The sequence below is a fragment of the Homo sapiens genome, chromosome 15, assembly GCF_000001405.40.
Source record: "Homo sapiens chromosome 15, GRCh38.p14 Primary Assembly".
Classification (NCBI taxonomy): domain Eukaryota; kingdom Metazoa; phylum Chordata; class Mammalia; order Primates; family Hominidae; genus Homo; species Homo sapiens.
In genome coordinates, this window is record NC_000015.10 from 88,533,705 (window position 1) to 88,550,236 (window position 16,532).

Below are 16,532 nucleotides of genomic sequence, written 5' to 3' on the forward strand. Positions count from 1 at the left end.
ACTTAAATGAAGTATCAAACGTAATCAAATTTAACAGCCAGGTGCCATAGCACACACCTGTAATCCCAGCTACTTGGGAGGCTGAGGTGGACCACTTGAGCCCAGGAGTTTGAGTCTAGCTTGGGCAACAGAGCAAGACCCAATCTCTAAAAAAAAAAAAAAAAAAAAAAAATTAATGTAAAATACTTATCATTAAAAAAAGAAAAAGGAATCAAATTCACAGAAACAAAGAAGAATGGTGGTCACCAGGGACTAGCAGGAGGGGAAAGAGAAGGTGCTGTTGAATGGGTTAGACTTTTCAGATTTTCAAGATGAAAAACTTCTCGAGATCAATTTCACAATGTGAATATACTTAATACTACTGAACTGTACACTTACAATCAGTTAAGACGGTAAATGTTAGGCTATTTTAAAATCACAATAAAAATATGTTTTAATATTTATGGGGCATCTATTATATGGCAAAGTCTTCTAATTGTTTTATTATACCTTGATTCAAATCAAAGTTAAATCACAGGCCATAAAAGTCAACGGCATTTAGTGAAAAACTTAAGTTATAAAGCTGTTGCCAGATAAGATGGAATAATCAAACACCACCTTCTCTCTCCCACTAAAAATGCAGCTATAAAACCTAGACAGAATGCATAAGACAGGCATATGAGAAAAACCAATTGGCTAACAATAAAGTACCACTGAATGGGCAGTGAGGTTAACATTGTCTCCCCTGGTTCTCCTGCTGCTTGAAGAGCAAGTGTGTTGCAAGGAAGGATAATTAAAGCCCCAATTTTGTCATCAGAGGATCAAAAGGGAGACCCCAGTGGAACCAGAAGGTACTGGGGAGATATCAGATGGGGAGGAGCTCAGAAAAGTAACATCATGAAGTTGTTCATGAACTCCCAAGCTGCACACGTGTGGATCTGGTCCAAATCATACTAAAGGCTTTGAGAACTGAAATAATCAACACCCAGATTGCAGACTGGCCACTGAATGTCACATACATGGGACAGATCCAAATAGCACTGCAAAGACTTTCTGAAAATTCATCTGCCATTAGAACCATAGCCTAAAGAGAGTTACAAATTGCAAATTCCCTGAAGCTAATTAGGTAGATTGCCTACCAAGCCAAAAATCACCAACATCCTCTTAGGATTTAAACAAGCCCTATCATCTTATAATATTCAAAATGTCTAGGAAACAATCCAAAATCATTCAGCATATGAAGTACTAGGAAAAAACTCAATCTAGAAAAGACAATTGACAGACACCAATGTTGAGATGCTACAAAAGTTGGAATTCTCTGAGACAGATTTTGAAGTACCTATTATAAAAATGTTCCAATAAGTAATCACAAACACTCTTGAAATGATGGAAAAACAAAGTCTCAGCTAAGAAACAGAAGATATTTCTTAAAGATCCAGATAAGAAGTTTAGAGCTGAAAAAGCAATAACCAGCATACAAAACTCTTCTAGCTTCCATAGACTCTAGTAAAATATCTTTTAAAAATTTAAAAACAATTCTGAAAAAGAATAAAAAACTCACTGATGGGCTCAAGGGCAGAATGAAGTCATCAGAGAAATGAGTCAGTCACCCTGAAGATAGATTAGTATACATTACCCAATGTGAACAAAAGAGGGAAAAAATAAAAAGACTGAAAAAAAGTCAGTAAAGCCTCAGGGCCCTAGGGAAAATATCAAAAGTTGTAACACCCTGATCTTGAGGAGTAGAATGCTAAGAAAAAAAAAAAAAATTAAGAAATAATGGCTGTAATAGTTGGTGGTGGTGGCACACATCCATAATCCCAGAACTTTGGGAGGCTGAGATGGGCAAATTGCTTGAGCCCAGGAGTTCAAGACCAGCCTGGGCATCATGGCAAAACCCCATCTCTACTAAAAATACAAAAAGTAGCCGGGCACAGTGGTGTGCACTTGTAGTCACAGCTACTCAGGAGGCTGAGGTGGGAGGATCACTTGAGCCTGGGAAGCAGAGGCTGAAGTGAGCTGAGATCATGCCACTGCACTCCAGCCTGGGCAATGCAGTGAGACTCTGTCAAAAGAAAGAAAAAAAGAAAGAAAGAAAGGAAGGAAGGGGAAAAAAAGAAAGATGAAAGAAAGGAAGGAAAGAAGAAAGGAAGGGAGAGAGGAAGGAAGCAAGGGAAGGAGGAAGGAAATTTCCCAAATTTGGCTAAAGATATAAACTCCAATTCAAAAGGTTCAGAGACCCCCCAAATTCAGGAAGTTCAGAGACCCTCAAATATGATAAATCCAAAGAAATCCATGCCCAGGCACATCATAGCTAAAATGGAAAAAACTAAAAGATATACAGTAAAAACCTCTAAAGTAACCAGATAGAAACCACGTATCACCTATAGAGGTGCAACAATTCAAATGTCTGTAGATTTCTCATCAGAAACCATGGAAGTTAGAAAGAAGTGGAACAACATTATTTAAGTGCTGAAAGATCTGCCTCTGTTTCATCATTCAAGTCTCAGCTAAAATAGTACCTCCTCAGAAATCTTCCCCAGGCACCTTACGTCTGCCCACATGAATTTACTGATACACCCTATATTATTAATGGTCTTTATCTCTTCCTGAAATTAAGTTGTTTACCTTTTTAGTATCTGTCCCACCATACCAGAGAGCAGGGAACTGGTCTAATTCCTTGCTGTATTCCCAGCACCTAGGAGAAGGGACAGTTAAGCGCTCATAAATATGTTAAAATAATTAATGGAGCAACAATTGGTATGAGCCTTGAAGAATAAGAATACACTAAACAAAGTAAAAGAGGAACAAACTGGCCGGGTGCAGTGGCTCACGCCTGTAATACCAGCACTTTGGGAGGCTGAGGCAGGGAGGTCACAAGGTCAGGAGTTCGAGACCAGCCTGGCCAACATAGTGAAACTCCATCTCTACTAAAAATACAAAAATTAGCTGGGCATGGTGGCGGGGACTCCAGCTACACAGGAGGCTGAGGCAGGAGAACTGCTTGAACCCGGGAGGCAGAGGTTGCAGTGAGTCAAGATTGTACCACTGCACTCCAGCCTGGGCAACAGAGCAAGACTCCATCTCAAAAAAAAAAAAAAAAAAAGGAACAAACTAGATAAAAAGGTACCTAAAAGGCTAAAAGACACATTTTTAAAAAGCATGACATGGCACATTTGGGAAACAGAGCAATTTCAAGTGGTTAGAGCACAGGAAGCACAGAGTGAGTGATAAGAGAGGCCTAGAAAAAGACTGGAAAGCAGGGGAGCGATTGGATCCAATCTGTATTTTAAAACGTACACACAATGAGGTATTTATTCATATTCTGTCTCCTTCTGAAAAGGTTCCAAATGCCTTATATAAGTATATATAATACCCAGTCAAGTTAAAAATGTACATACCTCCATGACTGAGCAAGTTTCTCAAACTGCTAGTCACACCTCATGAATAGAGCCTTGGATCAATTTAGTGAATAGTATTACGGACATTTTAAAAAATGAAATAGAAAGTATCAAGCTATCATATATTGCAATGGTAAGCACTGTTTTGTAAAACGTTTATTTCAATTATATTGGAGTTACATGCACTGAGTAAAGACATAAAATGTATACTGATCTAGACTAGAGCAAGAGTCTGCAAACTACCGCCCTCAGCCCAAATCTAGCCCATCTCTCACCTCCTGGATTTTTTGGGGTCTCACTCTGTCGCCCAGGCTGGAGTACAGTGGTACCACCATGGACCTCCCTGGCTCAAGTGATCTTTCTGCCTTGATCTCCCAAAGTGCTAGGATTACAGGCATGAGCTACCACACCTGACCCCTACCTCCCAGTTTTTGTAAATGAAATTTCACTGGAACCCTCCCATACCCAGTCATTTACATATTGCTTTTGCCCTACATAGGCAGAGTTGAGCAGCTGAGATGAAGATCTTACTTATGTTTATGGCCCTCATTAGATGGTGATGTCCCACCGACCAGTACGCAAACACTATATTCTGTATGCTCATCACAGTGTTTGACACATGGTAAGCCTCCCTTCTTGAACACTGGACCTGTCTAACGGGAAGTTCTGTGTCAACTCAGGCATCCACAGGGACTATTCCCTCTGCCTGGAATGCATTTCCCCTGCCCCTTGCTGTAACTTCTCAAGTTGCAGCTTAAGTGCAGTCTCCTTTAGGAAGTGTTCCCTGACCATCCTATCTAAAACAGGACTCCCGTTATTATTACATTTTGTCTTCTCCATAGTAATCACTGCAAGTTGTATTTACACTTTCACTTGCATGCTTGTGTTTAATGTCTGATTCCCTTGCTACCCTGTACTCTCCAGACAGGAAGTAACCAGGTCTACCTCGGTCATGCGGTATTTTCAGAGCCTAGCACTGGGACTGGCACATGGTAGGCATTTGGTACTTTATGGAACGAAAGAAGAAAGCCTGACTGAATTGGGACACTTGTAATGCCCAAACTGGTTTTTACTAACTCTGTTTTTAGACTCTCCCTTAGCTAAGAGAGCCAGACAGACTCCATCTTGGCTCTTTCACTGGCAGCCCCTTCCTCAAGGACTTAACTTGTGCAAGCTGACTCCCAGCACATCCAAGAATGCAATTAACTGATAAGATACTGTGGCAAGCTATATCCACAGTCCCCAAGAATTCATCTGATTGATAACACCCAAAGCCCCACGTCTATCACCTTGTAATAGTCATAAAGCCCCTGCACCTGGAACTGTTTACTTTCCTGTAACCATTTATCCTTTTAACTTTTTGACTACCTAACTTCTGTAAAATTGTTTTAACTAGACCCCCCCTCCCCTTCCTAAACCAAGGTATAAAAGTTAATCAAGCCCCTTCCTCAGGGCTGAGAGAATTTTGAGCATTAGCCGTCTCTCGGTCACCGGCTAGTAAAGGACTCTTAATTAGTCTCAAAGTGTGGCGTTTTCTCTAACACCCCGGGTACAACATAATGGAGGCCCCAGCGAGAAATTAATGCCACTGGGTGAGAGTTGGTCTTGCTCCGGGCTCCCCCGGAAGGACGGCCGGCTCAGAGGGGGTTACCACCTGAGGAAAGAATTTTCAGGTCCCCAAACAGTGACCACCTTCCGGAGGAGAGTGGATCGACTACCATGTCAGTGCCTTAAAATTCAACATCTGAGTCCTCAGCTTCTCACCCCGGGGTCAGGTAGGTCAGATTTGACTTTGTTCTGGTTCTGGTAAGAGGGAAGTGGCCCTGACGAGGGCATCCCTCTTTTGACTCAGCCCGTTACTCTAGGACGCTACTGGGTTGAGCCTTGGTTTTCTGGTAGGCGCCTCTGTGTCTTGGTTTAGGTGGGAAGTGGTCCTGATCAGGCCCCTCCCTTGGACTTAGCTGAAGACCCAGGATGCTGGGGAGCTGAGCCTTGGTTTCTGGCAGACCGCTCTCTCTCTCTCTCTCTCTCTTTCTCTTATTCAAGTTTCTTGGAGAATCTCCAGGAAAGAAAAAAAAAACTGTTATAAACTCTGTGAATGGTGAGTGACTGTGGGAGGACAAAGGCTTGCATTTGTCTTCCAGTTTGTAGCTCCACGGCGAAAGCTACACAGTTTGAGTGGGCCCTCACCTGCAGTTCTGGGGCGACCTCACAAGGCTTAAGGCAGCATCGGACATAGCTCGATCCAAGCCGGGGGTTTATACCGGCCTGCCAATGCTAAGAGGAGCCCAAGTCCCCTCAGGGGAAGTGACCAGGTGGGCATCTGACTGATCCCATCACGGGAGGGCCCCCCCTTGTCTGTCTAAAAAAAAAAAAAAAAAAAAAAAGGAAAAAACTGTCAAAACTGTTTACCTGCCCTAGGGTCAAATTGTTTGTTTTATGTTTATTTTTCTGCTTAGTGTTTATTGTCTTGTTTAGTGGTTGTCAAGGTTTTGCATGTCAGGACGTCGGTATTGCCCAAGACGTCTGGGTAAAAACTTCTTCAAGGTCCTTAGTGCTGATTTTTTTGTCACAAGAGGTTAAATTTCTCATCGGTTGTTCAGGCTGGCCACCACAGTCCTGTCTTTTCTGCCAGAGGCAAGTAAGGTGTTGTTACAGGAATGAGTGTGAAGAACATTCATCTGATTGAAATCTCTGGCACCATGGAAGTTGTGGGCATTTAGATTGCCATACCCCACATCCAAGTGATTGGACCTCCTCTAGATTAAACCGGTGGTGGGTTCAAAACAGCCACCCTGCAGATTTCCTTGCTCACCTTTTTTGTCATTCTGTAACTTTTCCTGTGCCCTTAAACAGAACACTGTGTAGGGAAACCTACACCTGTCATGCTTTACTTCGTTTAGACTCCTACTCTGTTCCCCTGTGGCTACTCTCTCATCTTAAAAATGACCTGAGTGGTCCCTTTCCCCCTCGTCCCTGCCCCCTACTCTGCACATTTCGGTTTCCACTGCGACAGCAAGTTCAGTGTCTCCAGGACTTGGCTCTGCTCTCGCTCCTTGAACCCTTGAAAGAAAGAGCTAAATTTAAGCTATTTGCCTTTGAGTCATGGAGACACCAAAGGTATTTAGGGTACAGATCTAGAAGAAGAGGGAGAACGCCTAGATCCAACTGACCCAGGAGACCTCAGGCTGGCCTCTAGTCCCCCTCCCTCAATCTTAAAGCTACAGCAATGTGGCAAGTGGTATTAGCTGTTGTGATTTTTCTGTTCTTTCTGGTTATGTTAATTCTGTTTTTCTGATACTCCAGCCCCCCAGGGAGTGAGTTTCTCTGTCCATGTTGGATCTGATACCTCTGCTCAAATTCTGTTAAATTGCCTTCTAAAAAAAAAAAAAAATGGGAAACACTTCCTCCCAGCCTTGCAAGTGTTGGAGCCCCCTCCAATGTATGCTGGAAAATTTTTCTCTTGGTGTGGGGAAAAGCAAGAGAGATCAGATTGTTACTGTGTCTGTGTAGAAAGAAGTAGACATAGGAGACTCCATTTTGTTATGTACTAAGAAAAATTCTTCTGCCTTGAGATTCTGTTAATCTATGACCTTAGCCCCAACCCCGTGCTCTCTGAAACATGTGCTGTGTCAACTCAGAGTTGAATGGATTAAGGGCGGTGCAAGATGTGCTTTGTTAAACAGATGCTTGAGGGCAGCATGCTCCTTAAGAGTCATCACCACTCCCTAATCTCAAGTACCCAGGGACACAAAAACTGTGGAAGGCCGCAGGGACCTCTGCCTAGGAAAGCCAGGTATTGTCCAAGGTTTCTCCCCATGTGATAGTCTGAAATATGGCCTCGTGGGAAGGGAAAGACCTGACCGTCCCCCAGCCCGACACCCATAAAGGGTCTGTGCTGAGGAGGATTAGTAAAAGGGGAAGGAATGCCTCTTGCAGTTGAGACAAGAGGAAGGCATCTGTCTCCTGCCTGTCCCTGGGCAATGGAATGTCTCGGTATAAAACCCGATTGTATGCTCCATCTACTGAGATAGGGAAAAACCGCCTTAGGGCTGGAGGTGGGACCTGCGGGCAGCAATACTGCTTTGTAAAGCATTGAGATGTTTATGTGTATGCATATCTAAAAGCACAGCACTTAATCCTTTACATTGTCTATGATGCAAAGACCTTTGTTCACGTGTTTGTCTGCTGACCCTCTCCGCACAATTGTCTTGTGACCCTGACACATCCTCCTCTTTGAGAAACACCCACAGATGATCAATAAATACTAAGGGAACTCAGAGGCTGGCGGGATCCTCCATATGCTGAACGCTGGTTCCCCGGGTCCCCTTATTTCTTTCTCTATACTTTGTCTCTGTGTCTTTTTCTTTTCCAAATCTCTCGTCCCACCTTACGAGAAACACCCACAGGTGTGTAGGGGCAACCCACCCCTACATCTTGGTTTTTCAGAGAATTACGGAGTCTGCCTTTAAAAAGGCAAGCTCCGGACACTCTGTGAAGTAGAATGGCCAAGGTTTGGAGTTGGGTGGCCCTCTAAAGGATCATTGAATCCTACAATTGTTCAAGCCGTGTGGCGGGTTGTTACTGGAACTCCTGGCCACCCTGATCAGTTTCCCTATATCAATCAATGGTTAAGTTTGATTAGAAATCCTCCTCCATGGCTCCGTTCATGTGCCATTCACAATTCCACCTCCAAAGTCCTCCTGAACCAGGCCGTGTTTTCACCTCGACCCTCAGCCAGTTCGGCTCCCCCTGTTTTGCCTCCCTCTGAAGAAGGGAGGACATGTCTCTTCGAGGAGACGTCCCCTGTGGGCTCACCGCCCAATTGCCTCCCGGCTGTGACCGCGCTGGGAGGAAGCAGCCCCTCTACTACCACTGAGAGAGGCACAAGTTCCTCCAGGTGATGAGCGCTCAGCCCCCTTCCTGTTTTATGTCCCTTTTTCTACTTCTGACTTGTATAACTGGAAAACCCATAATCCTCCCTTCTCTGAAAAGCCTCAGGCTTTGACCTCACTGATGGAGTCCATGCTCCAGACCCATCGACCCACCTAGGATGACAGCCAACAGCTCCTTTTAACTCTCTTTACCTCTGAGGAGAGGGAGCGCATCTGAAGAGAGGCCAGAAAACACTTCCTTGCATTAACCGGTAGGCCTGAGGAGGAAGCTAGAGACCTCCTGGAGGAGGTCATTCCCTCCACCCGGCCTAATTGGGACCCAAATTCCTCAGGTGGAAGGAGAGCCTTGGACGATTTTCACTGGTATCTCCTCACGGATATTAAAGGAGCCACTCAGAAGCCCATAAACTTGTCTAAGACAACTGAAGTTGTCCAGGGGCCTGATGAGTCACCAGGAGCGTTTTTAGAATGTCTCCAGGAGGCTTATCGCATTTATACTCCTTTTGACCCGGTGGCTCCCGAAAATAGCCACGCTCTTAATTTGGCATTTGAGGCTCAGGCAGCCCTGGACATTAAGAGAAAGCTCCAGAAACTGAAAGGATTTACTGGGATAAATAACAGTCAGCTTTTAGAAATAGCCCAGAAGGTTTTTGACAATCGAGAGTATGAAAACAGAAACAAGCAACACAGGCAGCTGAAAAGGCCGCTGATAAAGCCTATAAAAGACAAGCAAAAATCTTACTAATGGCTATCCAAGAGGGCAGAAAGGAAAGGCCCCCATTCCAGAAAAAATGGCCAAGGAACCTTGGGTTCCCACCAGAAAAGTAAAAGAGGTGAACAGGCCTCTCTAGGAAAAGACCAATGTGCCTATTGCAAGCAGACTAGGCACTGGAAAAAGGAATGCCCACTACTGCCACAAGAAAAGTCAGAAAACAAAAAGTTCTCACCCTGCCTGCAACAGAAGAGCCTGAATGACAGGGCCGTGAGATACTGTCATCTCTGGATATTGGGGTTTGCGGAGATTGCAAAGCCCTTGTATACTGCTATAAGAGGTAATGGCCCATTGATTTGGACAGACACCGAAGAACAGGCTTTTCAAAATCTGAAAAAGACTTTAACTGAAGCCCCTGCTTTAGGCCTCCCAGATACCTCAAAGCCTTTTCATCTGTTTGTCCATGAGAGCCAGGGAATTGCTAAGGGGGTGCTTACTCAGACTTTAAGACCTTGGAGACACCCAATGGCTTATTTATCTAAGAGGCTGGATCCTGTGGCCTCTGGATGGCCAAGTAGCAGCTAGAGCAAGCCTAGTCCAAGAAACTGATAAGTTAATTCTGGGCCAGGATTTAACCCTTACAGCTCCTCATGCTGTAGAGACTTTACTACAAAGTGCTTCAGGTAAATGGATGTCAGATGCTTGCATTTTACAATATCAGAGTTGTTGAATCAGCCTCGTTTGACTTTCTCTCCCACATGGTGTTTAAATCCAGCTACTATCCAAGACTGTAAGGAACTGTTAGAAACTACCGAAACTGGCCGACCTGATCTTCAAGATGTGGCCCTAGAGAAGGCGGACGCCGCTGTGTTCACAGATGGTAGCAGCTTTCTCAAGCAGCGAGTATGAAAGGCCGGTGCAGCTGTTACCACGGAGACAGATGTGTTGTGGGCTCAGGCTTTACCAGCAAACACCTCAGTGCAAAAAGCTAAATTGATCGCCCTCACTCAGGCTCTCCGATGGGGTAAGGATAAACGTATTAACATTTACACTGACAGCAGGTACGCCTTTGCTACTGTGCATGTACATGGAGCCATCTACCAGAAGCGTGGGCTACTCACCTCAGCAGGAAAGGCTATCAAAAACAGATCAAGCAGCTCTCCAGTGCACAACCTGCGCCCAGGTAAATGCCAAGCAAGGTTCTAAACCCAGCCTAGGCCACCGTCTCTGAGAAAACTCGCCAGAAGAAAAGTGGGAAATTGACTTTACAGAAGTAAAACCACACCGGGCTAGGTACAAATAGCTTCTAGTACTAGTAGACACCTTCTCCAGATAGACTGAAGCATTTGCTACCAAAAATGAAACTGCCAATACGGTAGTTAAGTTCCTACTCAATAAAATCATCCCTCAATATGGGCTGCCTGCTGCCGCAGGGTGATAATACACCTGCCTTCACCTCGTCCATAGCTCAGTGGGTCAGTTAGGCGTTAAACATTCAGTGGAAGCTCCATTGTGCCTATCGACCCCAGAGCTCTGGGCAGGTAGAACACATGAACCGCACCCTAAAAAGACACTCTTACAAAATTAATTTTAAAAACCGGTAAAAATTGGGTAAGTCTCCTTCCTTTAGCCCTACTTAGAGTAAGGTGCACCCTTTATCAGGCTAGGTTCTCACCTTTTAAAATCATGTATGGGAGGGCGCCGCCTATCTTGCTTAAGCTAAGAGATGCCCAACTGGCAGAAATATCACAAGCTAATTTATTACAGTACCTACAATCTCCCCAACAGGTACAAGATATCACCCTGCCACTTGTTCAAGGAAACCATCCCAATCCAATTCCTAACCAGACGGGGTCCTGCCATTCGTTCCAGCCAGGAGAACTAGTGTTTGTTAAAAAGTTTCAGAAACAAGGACTCACTCCTGCTTTGAAAAGACTTCACACCGTCATCCTCACGCCAATGGCTCTGAAGGTGGATGGCATTCCTGCTTAGATTCATCACTCCTGCATCAAAAAGGCCAACAGAGCCCTACTAAAAACAGGGGTCCCCAGGCCTCGGTCAGGCCCCTTCTAAAACTGTGCCTAAGTCAGGACGTGTATTTGCAAACACCACTTGGAGGGCCGGTACCTCTAAGGAAGTCTCCTTTGCAGTTGATTTTATGTATACTGTTCCCAAAGCCAGCCTGTACCCACGAAGAGCAACACAATCTGCTTGTCCCAAAAGCAGGAAGTGTCGACCTTGTAGCAGGATTTGGGTGCTCTGGGAGCCAAACTGGATGTGTGGAAGTGCCAAAGGTGCAGAAAAAGAACTCCAAAATGTTGACTTTTACCTCTGTCCTGGGAATCACCCTGACGCTAGCTGTCGAGATACTTATCAGTTTTTCTGCCCTGATTGGACATGTGTAAACTTAGCCACCTACTCTGGGGGATCAACCAGATCTTCATTCGGTAACTCGTGCTTCTCATCCTAAATTATGTACTAAAAAAAAAATTGTAATCCTCTTACAATAATATTACGGCATGTCATGGAAATTAACATTTTATATTCCAGGATTTGATGTTGGGACTATGTTCACCATCCAAAATAAATAAATAAATAATAGAAATAAAAATCCTGGTCTCATGGAGCCCACCCAAGCCAATCGGGCCTTTAACTGCTCTAGGTGACCCTATGTTCCAGAAACCCCCTGACAAAGTTGATTTAACTGTTCCTCCACCATTCTTAGTCATAAAAGATACCCTCCAAAAAGTTCGAGAATATCTAGATAGGCAACAACAGGAACGAGAAAATAACATCCCCTGGTATCAAAACATGTTCCACTGGAACCCCTGGCTAACTACTTTAATCACTGGGTTAGCTGGACCTCTCCTCATCATACTATTAAGTTTAATTTTTAGGCCTTGTATATTAAATTGGTTTCTTAATTTTGTAAAACAATGCATAGCTTCTGTCAAACTTATGTATCTTAAGACTCCCCTTGTTAAAACTGAGGAATCAATGATTTGATTCCCCAAAAACACAAGTGGGGAATGTAATGCCCAACCTGGTTTTTACTAACTCTGTTTTTAGACTCTCCCTTAGCTAAGAGAGCCAGACAGACTCCATCTTGGCTCTTTCACTGGCAGCCCCTTCCTCAAGGACTTAACTTGTGCAAGCTGACTCCCAGCACATCCAAGAATGCAATTAACTGATAAGATACTGTGGCAAGCTATATCCACAGTCCCCAAGAATTCATCTGATTGATAACACCCAAAGCCCCACGTCTATCACCTTGTAATAGTCATAAAGCCCCTGCACCTGGAACTGTTTACTTTCCTGTAACCATTTATCCTTTTAACTTTTTGACTACCTAACTTCTGTAAAATTGTTTTAACTAGACCCCCCCTCCCCTTCCTAAACCAAGGTATAAAAGTTAATCAAGCCCCTTCCTCAGGGCCGAGAGAATTTTGAGCGTTAGCGGTCTCTCGGTCACCGGCTAATAAAGGACTCTTAATTCGTCTCAAAGTGTGGCGTTTTCTCTAACACCCCTGGGTACAACACACTAACTCACTGTGTGGTACTAAGTCCTTTACCCTTGCTGGGTCTCAGTTTCCCTATGGGAGAAGGTGCACATGTCCCTCAATTCCTTGCGACGGCCTCTAAACCAGAAGGGGATGCCAAGGGGCGGGCACACATACCCAAAAGGGCGCCCCCGGAAAGAAAAGCCTGGGGCGGGGCCTCAAAGGGAAGAGAATGCTGAGGGAGGGCGGGGGCCGCGGGGCCTCTGGGCATCAGCGTCATGCAGGGAGGAGCCTGCCGGGGAGGGTCTGACGGGCTTGGAGGCTGGGCCAAAAATGGTAAGTCCTCACCTGTCTGGTCCGGGCTCAAAGAGCCAGGGCGAGGGATGCCCCAGCCTGTTCTGTGCGCGCCTCCCCCTGCCCCGCCCCCGCCATGCCCCAGGACTCCTGCACCCGCGGCTGCACGTTCCCGTTTCCGCCAGCCACCGGAACTGCGGCCCAGCAAAAAGGGAAGTAGGGGAGAGCACGGCACTGTTCAGCCAACACTAAGAGACAGGTACAGCGCACCCTTGTGCCCGGAGGAAGGATCGAAGCCGTAGAGGCTCCATGGCTCCGAAGGAAAAATTAAAATGGCACCTAACCTGGCAATCTCTGTGAGTCCCAATGGCAGTGTCTCTGCACCTGCTGGGCACATTTGAAAAAATATGAATAGAATTAATTTTTCACCTATTGATTAGATGCTGAGAAACTTCCTACTCTGTTATCTTCTAGATGGCGAGCACCTTGAAGACTGAGATTGTATTGATCATCTCTGACTAACAGGGAATTTGCCTTGCTAGTTTTAAGATGGAGTTGATTTTAAAATGATGTCACTCTGGCTCTCGTAGGCTCCTGCTTCCCTAACAAAAAGACCTTCAACATCATTAATTATCAGAGAAATGCAAATCAAAACAATGAGATACTACTTCATACCCCTTAGGATGGCTATAATATCTTTAAAAGGAAGATATCACATACTGGTGAGGAGGTGGAGAAATCAAAAGCCTCATACACTGCTGCTGGGATGGGTGCAGTCACTTTCATGGGCGTCCGTGTGAAGAGACCACCAAACAGGCTTTGTGTGAGCAATAAAGCTGTTTATTTCACCTGGGTGCAGGTGGGCTGAGTCCGAAAAGAGAGTCAGCGAAGGGAGATAAGGGTGGGGCTGTTTTATAGGATTTGGGTAGGTAAAGGAAAATTACAGTCAAAGGGGGCTTGTTCTCTCACGGGCAGGAGTGGGGGTCGCAAGGTGCTCAGTGGGGGTGCTTTTTGAGCCAGAATGAGCTAGGAAAAGGACTTTTACAAGGTAATGTCATCACTTAAGGCAAGGACCGGTCATTTACACTTCTTTTGTGGTGGAATGTCATCAGTTAAGGTGGGGCAGGGCATACTCACTTCTTTTGTGATTCTTCACTTATTTCAGGCCATCTGGGCTTATATGTGCAAGTCACAAGGGATGCGATGGCTTGGCTTGGGCTCAAAGGCCTGACATTCCTGCCTTCTTATATTAATAAGAAAAATAAAAATAGTGTTGAAGTGTTGGGGCGGCAAAAATTTTTGGGGGGTGGTATGGAGAGAGAATGAGCGATGTTTCTCAGGGCTGCCTCAAGCGGGATTAGGGGTGGCGTGGGAACCTAGAGTGGGAGAGATTAAGCTGAAGGGAGGTCTTGTGGTAAGGGGTGATATTGTGGGGATGTTAGAAGAAACATTTGTCATATAGAATGATTGGTGATGGCCTGGATATGGTTTTGGATGAATTGAGAAACCAAATGGAATAACAAAAGGAGAAAAACAGGTATAAAAGGTCTAAGAATTGGGATGACTCAGGATATCTGATTAGAGAGTGCCTAAGGAGATTCAGCATAGTCCTGCCAGCAAAGATTATTTATTTACTTCAAGAGTTAAGAGTGGCAGTTTGTGGATAGCACCTGGAGATATCAGCTGTGATGGCTTAGAAAAACAATGTAAACAAGAGCAGGGCAGTGTAAACAAGAGCAGGGCATGTATGAGTAGTTGAGAACGGTGAATAGGAGTATGACTAGACAGAAGATAGCAGGGATGACAAGTTTTTTTGGGGCACAGTCTAAGTTGGTCTGGTGTCTGGAATAAGACTGGGGCCTAATAAAAAGGAGCATCTATACAGGAGCTTAAATGGGCTGTACCCTGTAGCATTCTGAGGACAGGCCTGAATTCTGAGAAGGGAAAGTGGTAAAAGTATTGTCCAGTCCTTTTTAAGTTGGTGGCTGAGCTTGGAGAGGTGTGTTTTTAAAAGACCTTTAGTCCATTCTACTTTTCTTGAAGACGGAGGACTGTAAGGGATATAAAGGTTTCACTGAATACTAAGAGCCTGAAAAACTGCTTGGCTGATTTGACTAATAAAGGCTCGTCTGTTATCAGACTGTATTGAGGTGGGAAGGCTAAACTGAGGAATTATGTCTGACAGAAGGGAAGAAATGACTGCGGTGGCCTTCTCGGACCCTGTAGGAAATGCCTCTACCTATCCAGTGAAAGTGTCTACCTGAACTAAGAGGTATTTTAGTTATCTGACTCAGGGCATGTTGAGTAAAGCTAAGTTGCCAGTCCTGGGTGGGGCAAATCCTCGAGCTTGATGTGTAGGGAAGGGAGGGGGCCTGAATAATCACTGAGGAGTAGTAGAAAAGCAGATGGAACACTGAGAAATTATTTCCTTGAGGATAGATTTCCACGATGGAAATGAAATGAGAGGTTCTAAGAGGTGGGCTAGTGGCTTGTACTATAGCATAACCTGCCTTTGCTGGTGTGTGGCGATTAGGCCTGGTGGAACCACCTTCAATAAATCAAGCGTGATCAGGGTGAGGAACAGGAAAGAAGGAAATTTGGGGAAATGGGGTGAATGTCAGGTGGATCAGAGAGATACAGTCATGGGGGTCAGGTGTGGTATCAGGAATAATGTGGGAGGCCGGATTGAAGTCTGGGCCAGGAACAATGGTAATTGTGGGAGACTCAACAAAGAGTGAGTACAGCTGAAGGAGCCAGGAAGCAGAAAGCATATGCGTCAGGTATGAGGAAGAAAATAGATTTTGGAAGTTACGAGAACTGTAGAGAGTGAGTTGAGCATAGTTTTTGATTTTGAGGGCTTCTAAAAGTATTAGGGCAGCAGCAGTGGCTGCATGGAGACATCATGGCCAGCCTAAAACAGTAAGGTCAAGTTGTTTGGACAAAAAGGCTACAGGATGCGATCCTGGTCCTTATGTAAGAATTCCAACTGCACAGCCCTGCACTTCAGCTGTGTGGAATGAAAAGGGTTGGGATGAGTCAGGGAGAGCTAGAGTGGGGCAGTTTCTAAAGCTGTCTTCAAGGAACGGAAAGAGGAGTGGGGAAAGGATTTAGGATCTATGGGGTCAGCTAGGTTTCCTTTTGTGAGCTTATATAATGGTTTTGTTAGGATGGCAAAACCAGGTATCCAAAGGTGAAAGTATCCAACCATGCCCAGGAAGGAAAGGAGTTGTTGTTTTGTAGAAGGGGTTGGGGTTTGAGAGATCAGTCGGACATGATTGGCAGGGAGAGCACGTGTGTTTTTATGAGAATTATGCCAAGATAGGTAACAGATGAGGAAGAAATTTGGGCTTGATTGAAGTAATGGGGGCTGTCTGTGAAGCTTTGCGGCAGTACAGCCTAGGTAATTTGCTGAGCTTGATGGGTGTCAGGGTCAGTCCAAGTGAAAGCGAAGAGAGGCTGGGATTAAGGATGCAAAGGAATAGTAAAGAAAGCATGTTTGAGATCTAGAACAGAATAATGGGTTGTAGAGGCAGGTACTGAGGATAGGAGAGTATATGGGTTTGGCACCATGGGGTGGATAGGCAAAACAATTTTGTTGATAAGGTGCAGATCCTGAACTAACTTGTAAGGCTTGTCTGGTTTTAGGACAGGTAAAATGGGGGAATTGTAAGGAGAGTTTATAGGTTCTAAAAGGCTATGTTGTAGCAGGCGAGTGATAACAGGCTTTAATCTTTTTAAAGCATGCTTCGGG

At 44.9% G+C, this 16,532-nt stretch overlaps 1 protein-coding gene and 1 long non-coding RNA gene across 12 annotated transcripts in view, besides 7 other annotated features; one reads left to right on the forward strand and one right to left on the reverse strand.

The window, feature by feature from the left end:
• Positions 1-12,999, reverse strand: part of DET1 (DET1 partner of COP1 E3 ubiquitin ligase) — a 44,785-nt gene extending 31,786 nt beyond the window's left edge. For 4 of the 11 annotated variants that reach the window (NR_135742.2, NR_135739.2, NR_026645.3 and 1 more), the window contains exon 1: positions 12,836-12,977. Coding sequence is in view for 2 of the 11 variants with exons in the window: in NM_001321594.2 (NP_001308523.1) it covers positions 2,608-2,630 (23 nt within the window). In the remaining 9 variants the exon portion in view is untranslated. Of the gene's footprint in view, positions 1-2,607; positions 2,678-10,906; positions 10,991-12,559; positions 12,672-12,835 lie in introns of those variants that run through there. The other 7 variants (NR_135744.1, NM_001321596.1, NM_001321594.2 and 4 more) reach the window with 5 other exon arrangements.
• Positions 4,990-5,569: an enhancer, noted in NCBI's record as "H3K27ac-H3K4me1 hESC enhancer chr15:89081925-89082504 (GRCh37/hg19 assembly coordinates)". NCBI's record gives its function as "activates a minimal SCP1, AML or CMV promoter by ChIP-STARR-seq in primed H9 embryonic stem cells {active_cell/tissue: H9 hESC(primed)}" and the evidence as "EXISTENCE:reporter gene assay evidence [ECO:0000049][PMID:30033119]".
• Positions 7,304-7,882: an enhancer, noted in NCBI's record as "OCT4-NANOG-H3K27ac-H3K4me1 hESC enhancer chr15:89084239-89084817 (GRCh37/hg19 assembly coordinates)". NCBI's record gives its function as "activates a minimal SCP1, AML or CMV promoter by ChIP-STARR-seq in primed H9 embryonic stem cells {active_cell/tissue: H9 hESC(primed)}" and the evidence as "EXISTENCE:reporter gene assay evidence [ECO:0000049][PMID:30033119]".
• Positions 7,394-7,688: a silencer, noted in NCBI's record as "tiled region #9209; HepG2 Repressive non-DNase unmatched - State 23:Low". NCBI's record gives its function as "represses a minimal TATA promoter and a strong SV40 promoter by Sharpr-MPRA in HepG2 cells {active_cell/tissue: HepG2}" and the evidence as "EXISTENCE:reporter gene assay evidence [ECO:0000049][PMID:27701403]".
• Positions 7,883-8,460: an enhancer, noted in NCBI's record as "H3K27ac-H3K4me1 hESC enhancer chr15:89084818-89085395 (GRCh37/hg19 assembly coordinates)". NCBI's record gives its function as "activates a minimal SCP1, AML or CMV promoter by ChIP-STARR-seq in primed H9 embryonic stem cells {active_cell/tissue: H9 hESC(primed)}" and the evidence as "EXISTENCE:reporter gene assay evidence [ECO:0000049][PMID:30033119]".
• Positions 8,481-8,682: a silencer, noted in NCBI's record as "fragment chr15:89085416-89085617 (GRCh37/hg19 assembly coordinates)". NCBI's record gives its function as "represses an EF-1alpha promoter that drives an FKBP-Casp9 reporter gene in an ReSE screen in K562 erythroleukemia cells {active_cell/tissue: K562}" and the evidence as "EXISTENCE:reporter gene assay evidence [ECO:0000049][PMID:32094911]".
• Positions 12,781-13,140: a silencer, noted in NCBI's record as "silent region_6789". NCBI's record gives its function as "represses an Ori minimal core promoter by ATAC-STARR-seq in GM12878 lymphoblastoid cells {active_cell/tissue: GM12878}" and the evidence as "EXISTENCE:reporter gene assay evidence [ECO:0000049][PMID:35858748]".
• LOC124903547 (uncharacterized) lies at positions 12,881-13,629 on the forward strand. The gene is made up of 2 exons (XR_007064748.1): positions 12,881-13,137; positions 13,256-13,629. It is a non-coding gene; the product is annotated as an uncharacterized LOC124903547 (long non-coding RNA).
• Positions 13,707-14,581: an enhancer, noted in NCBI's record as "NANOG-H3K27ac hESC enhancer chr15:89090642-89091516 (GRCh37/hg19 assembly coordinates)". NCBI's record gives its function as "activates a minimal SCP1, AML or CMV promoter by ChIP-STARR-seq in naive and primed H9 embryonic stem cells {active_cell/tissue: H9 hESC(naive and primed)}" and the evidence as "EXISTENCE:reporter gene assay evidence [ECO:0000049][PMID:30033119]".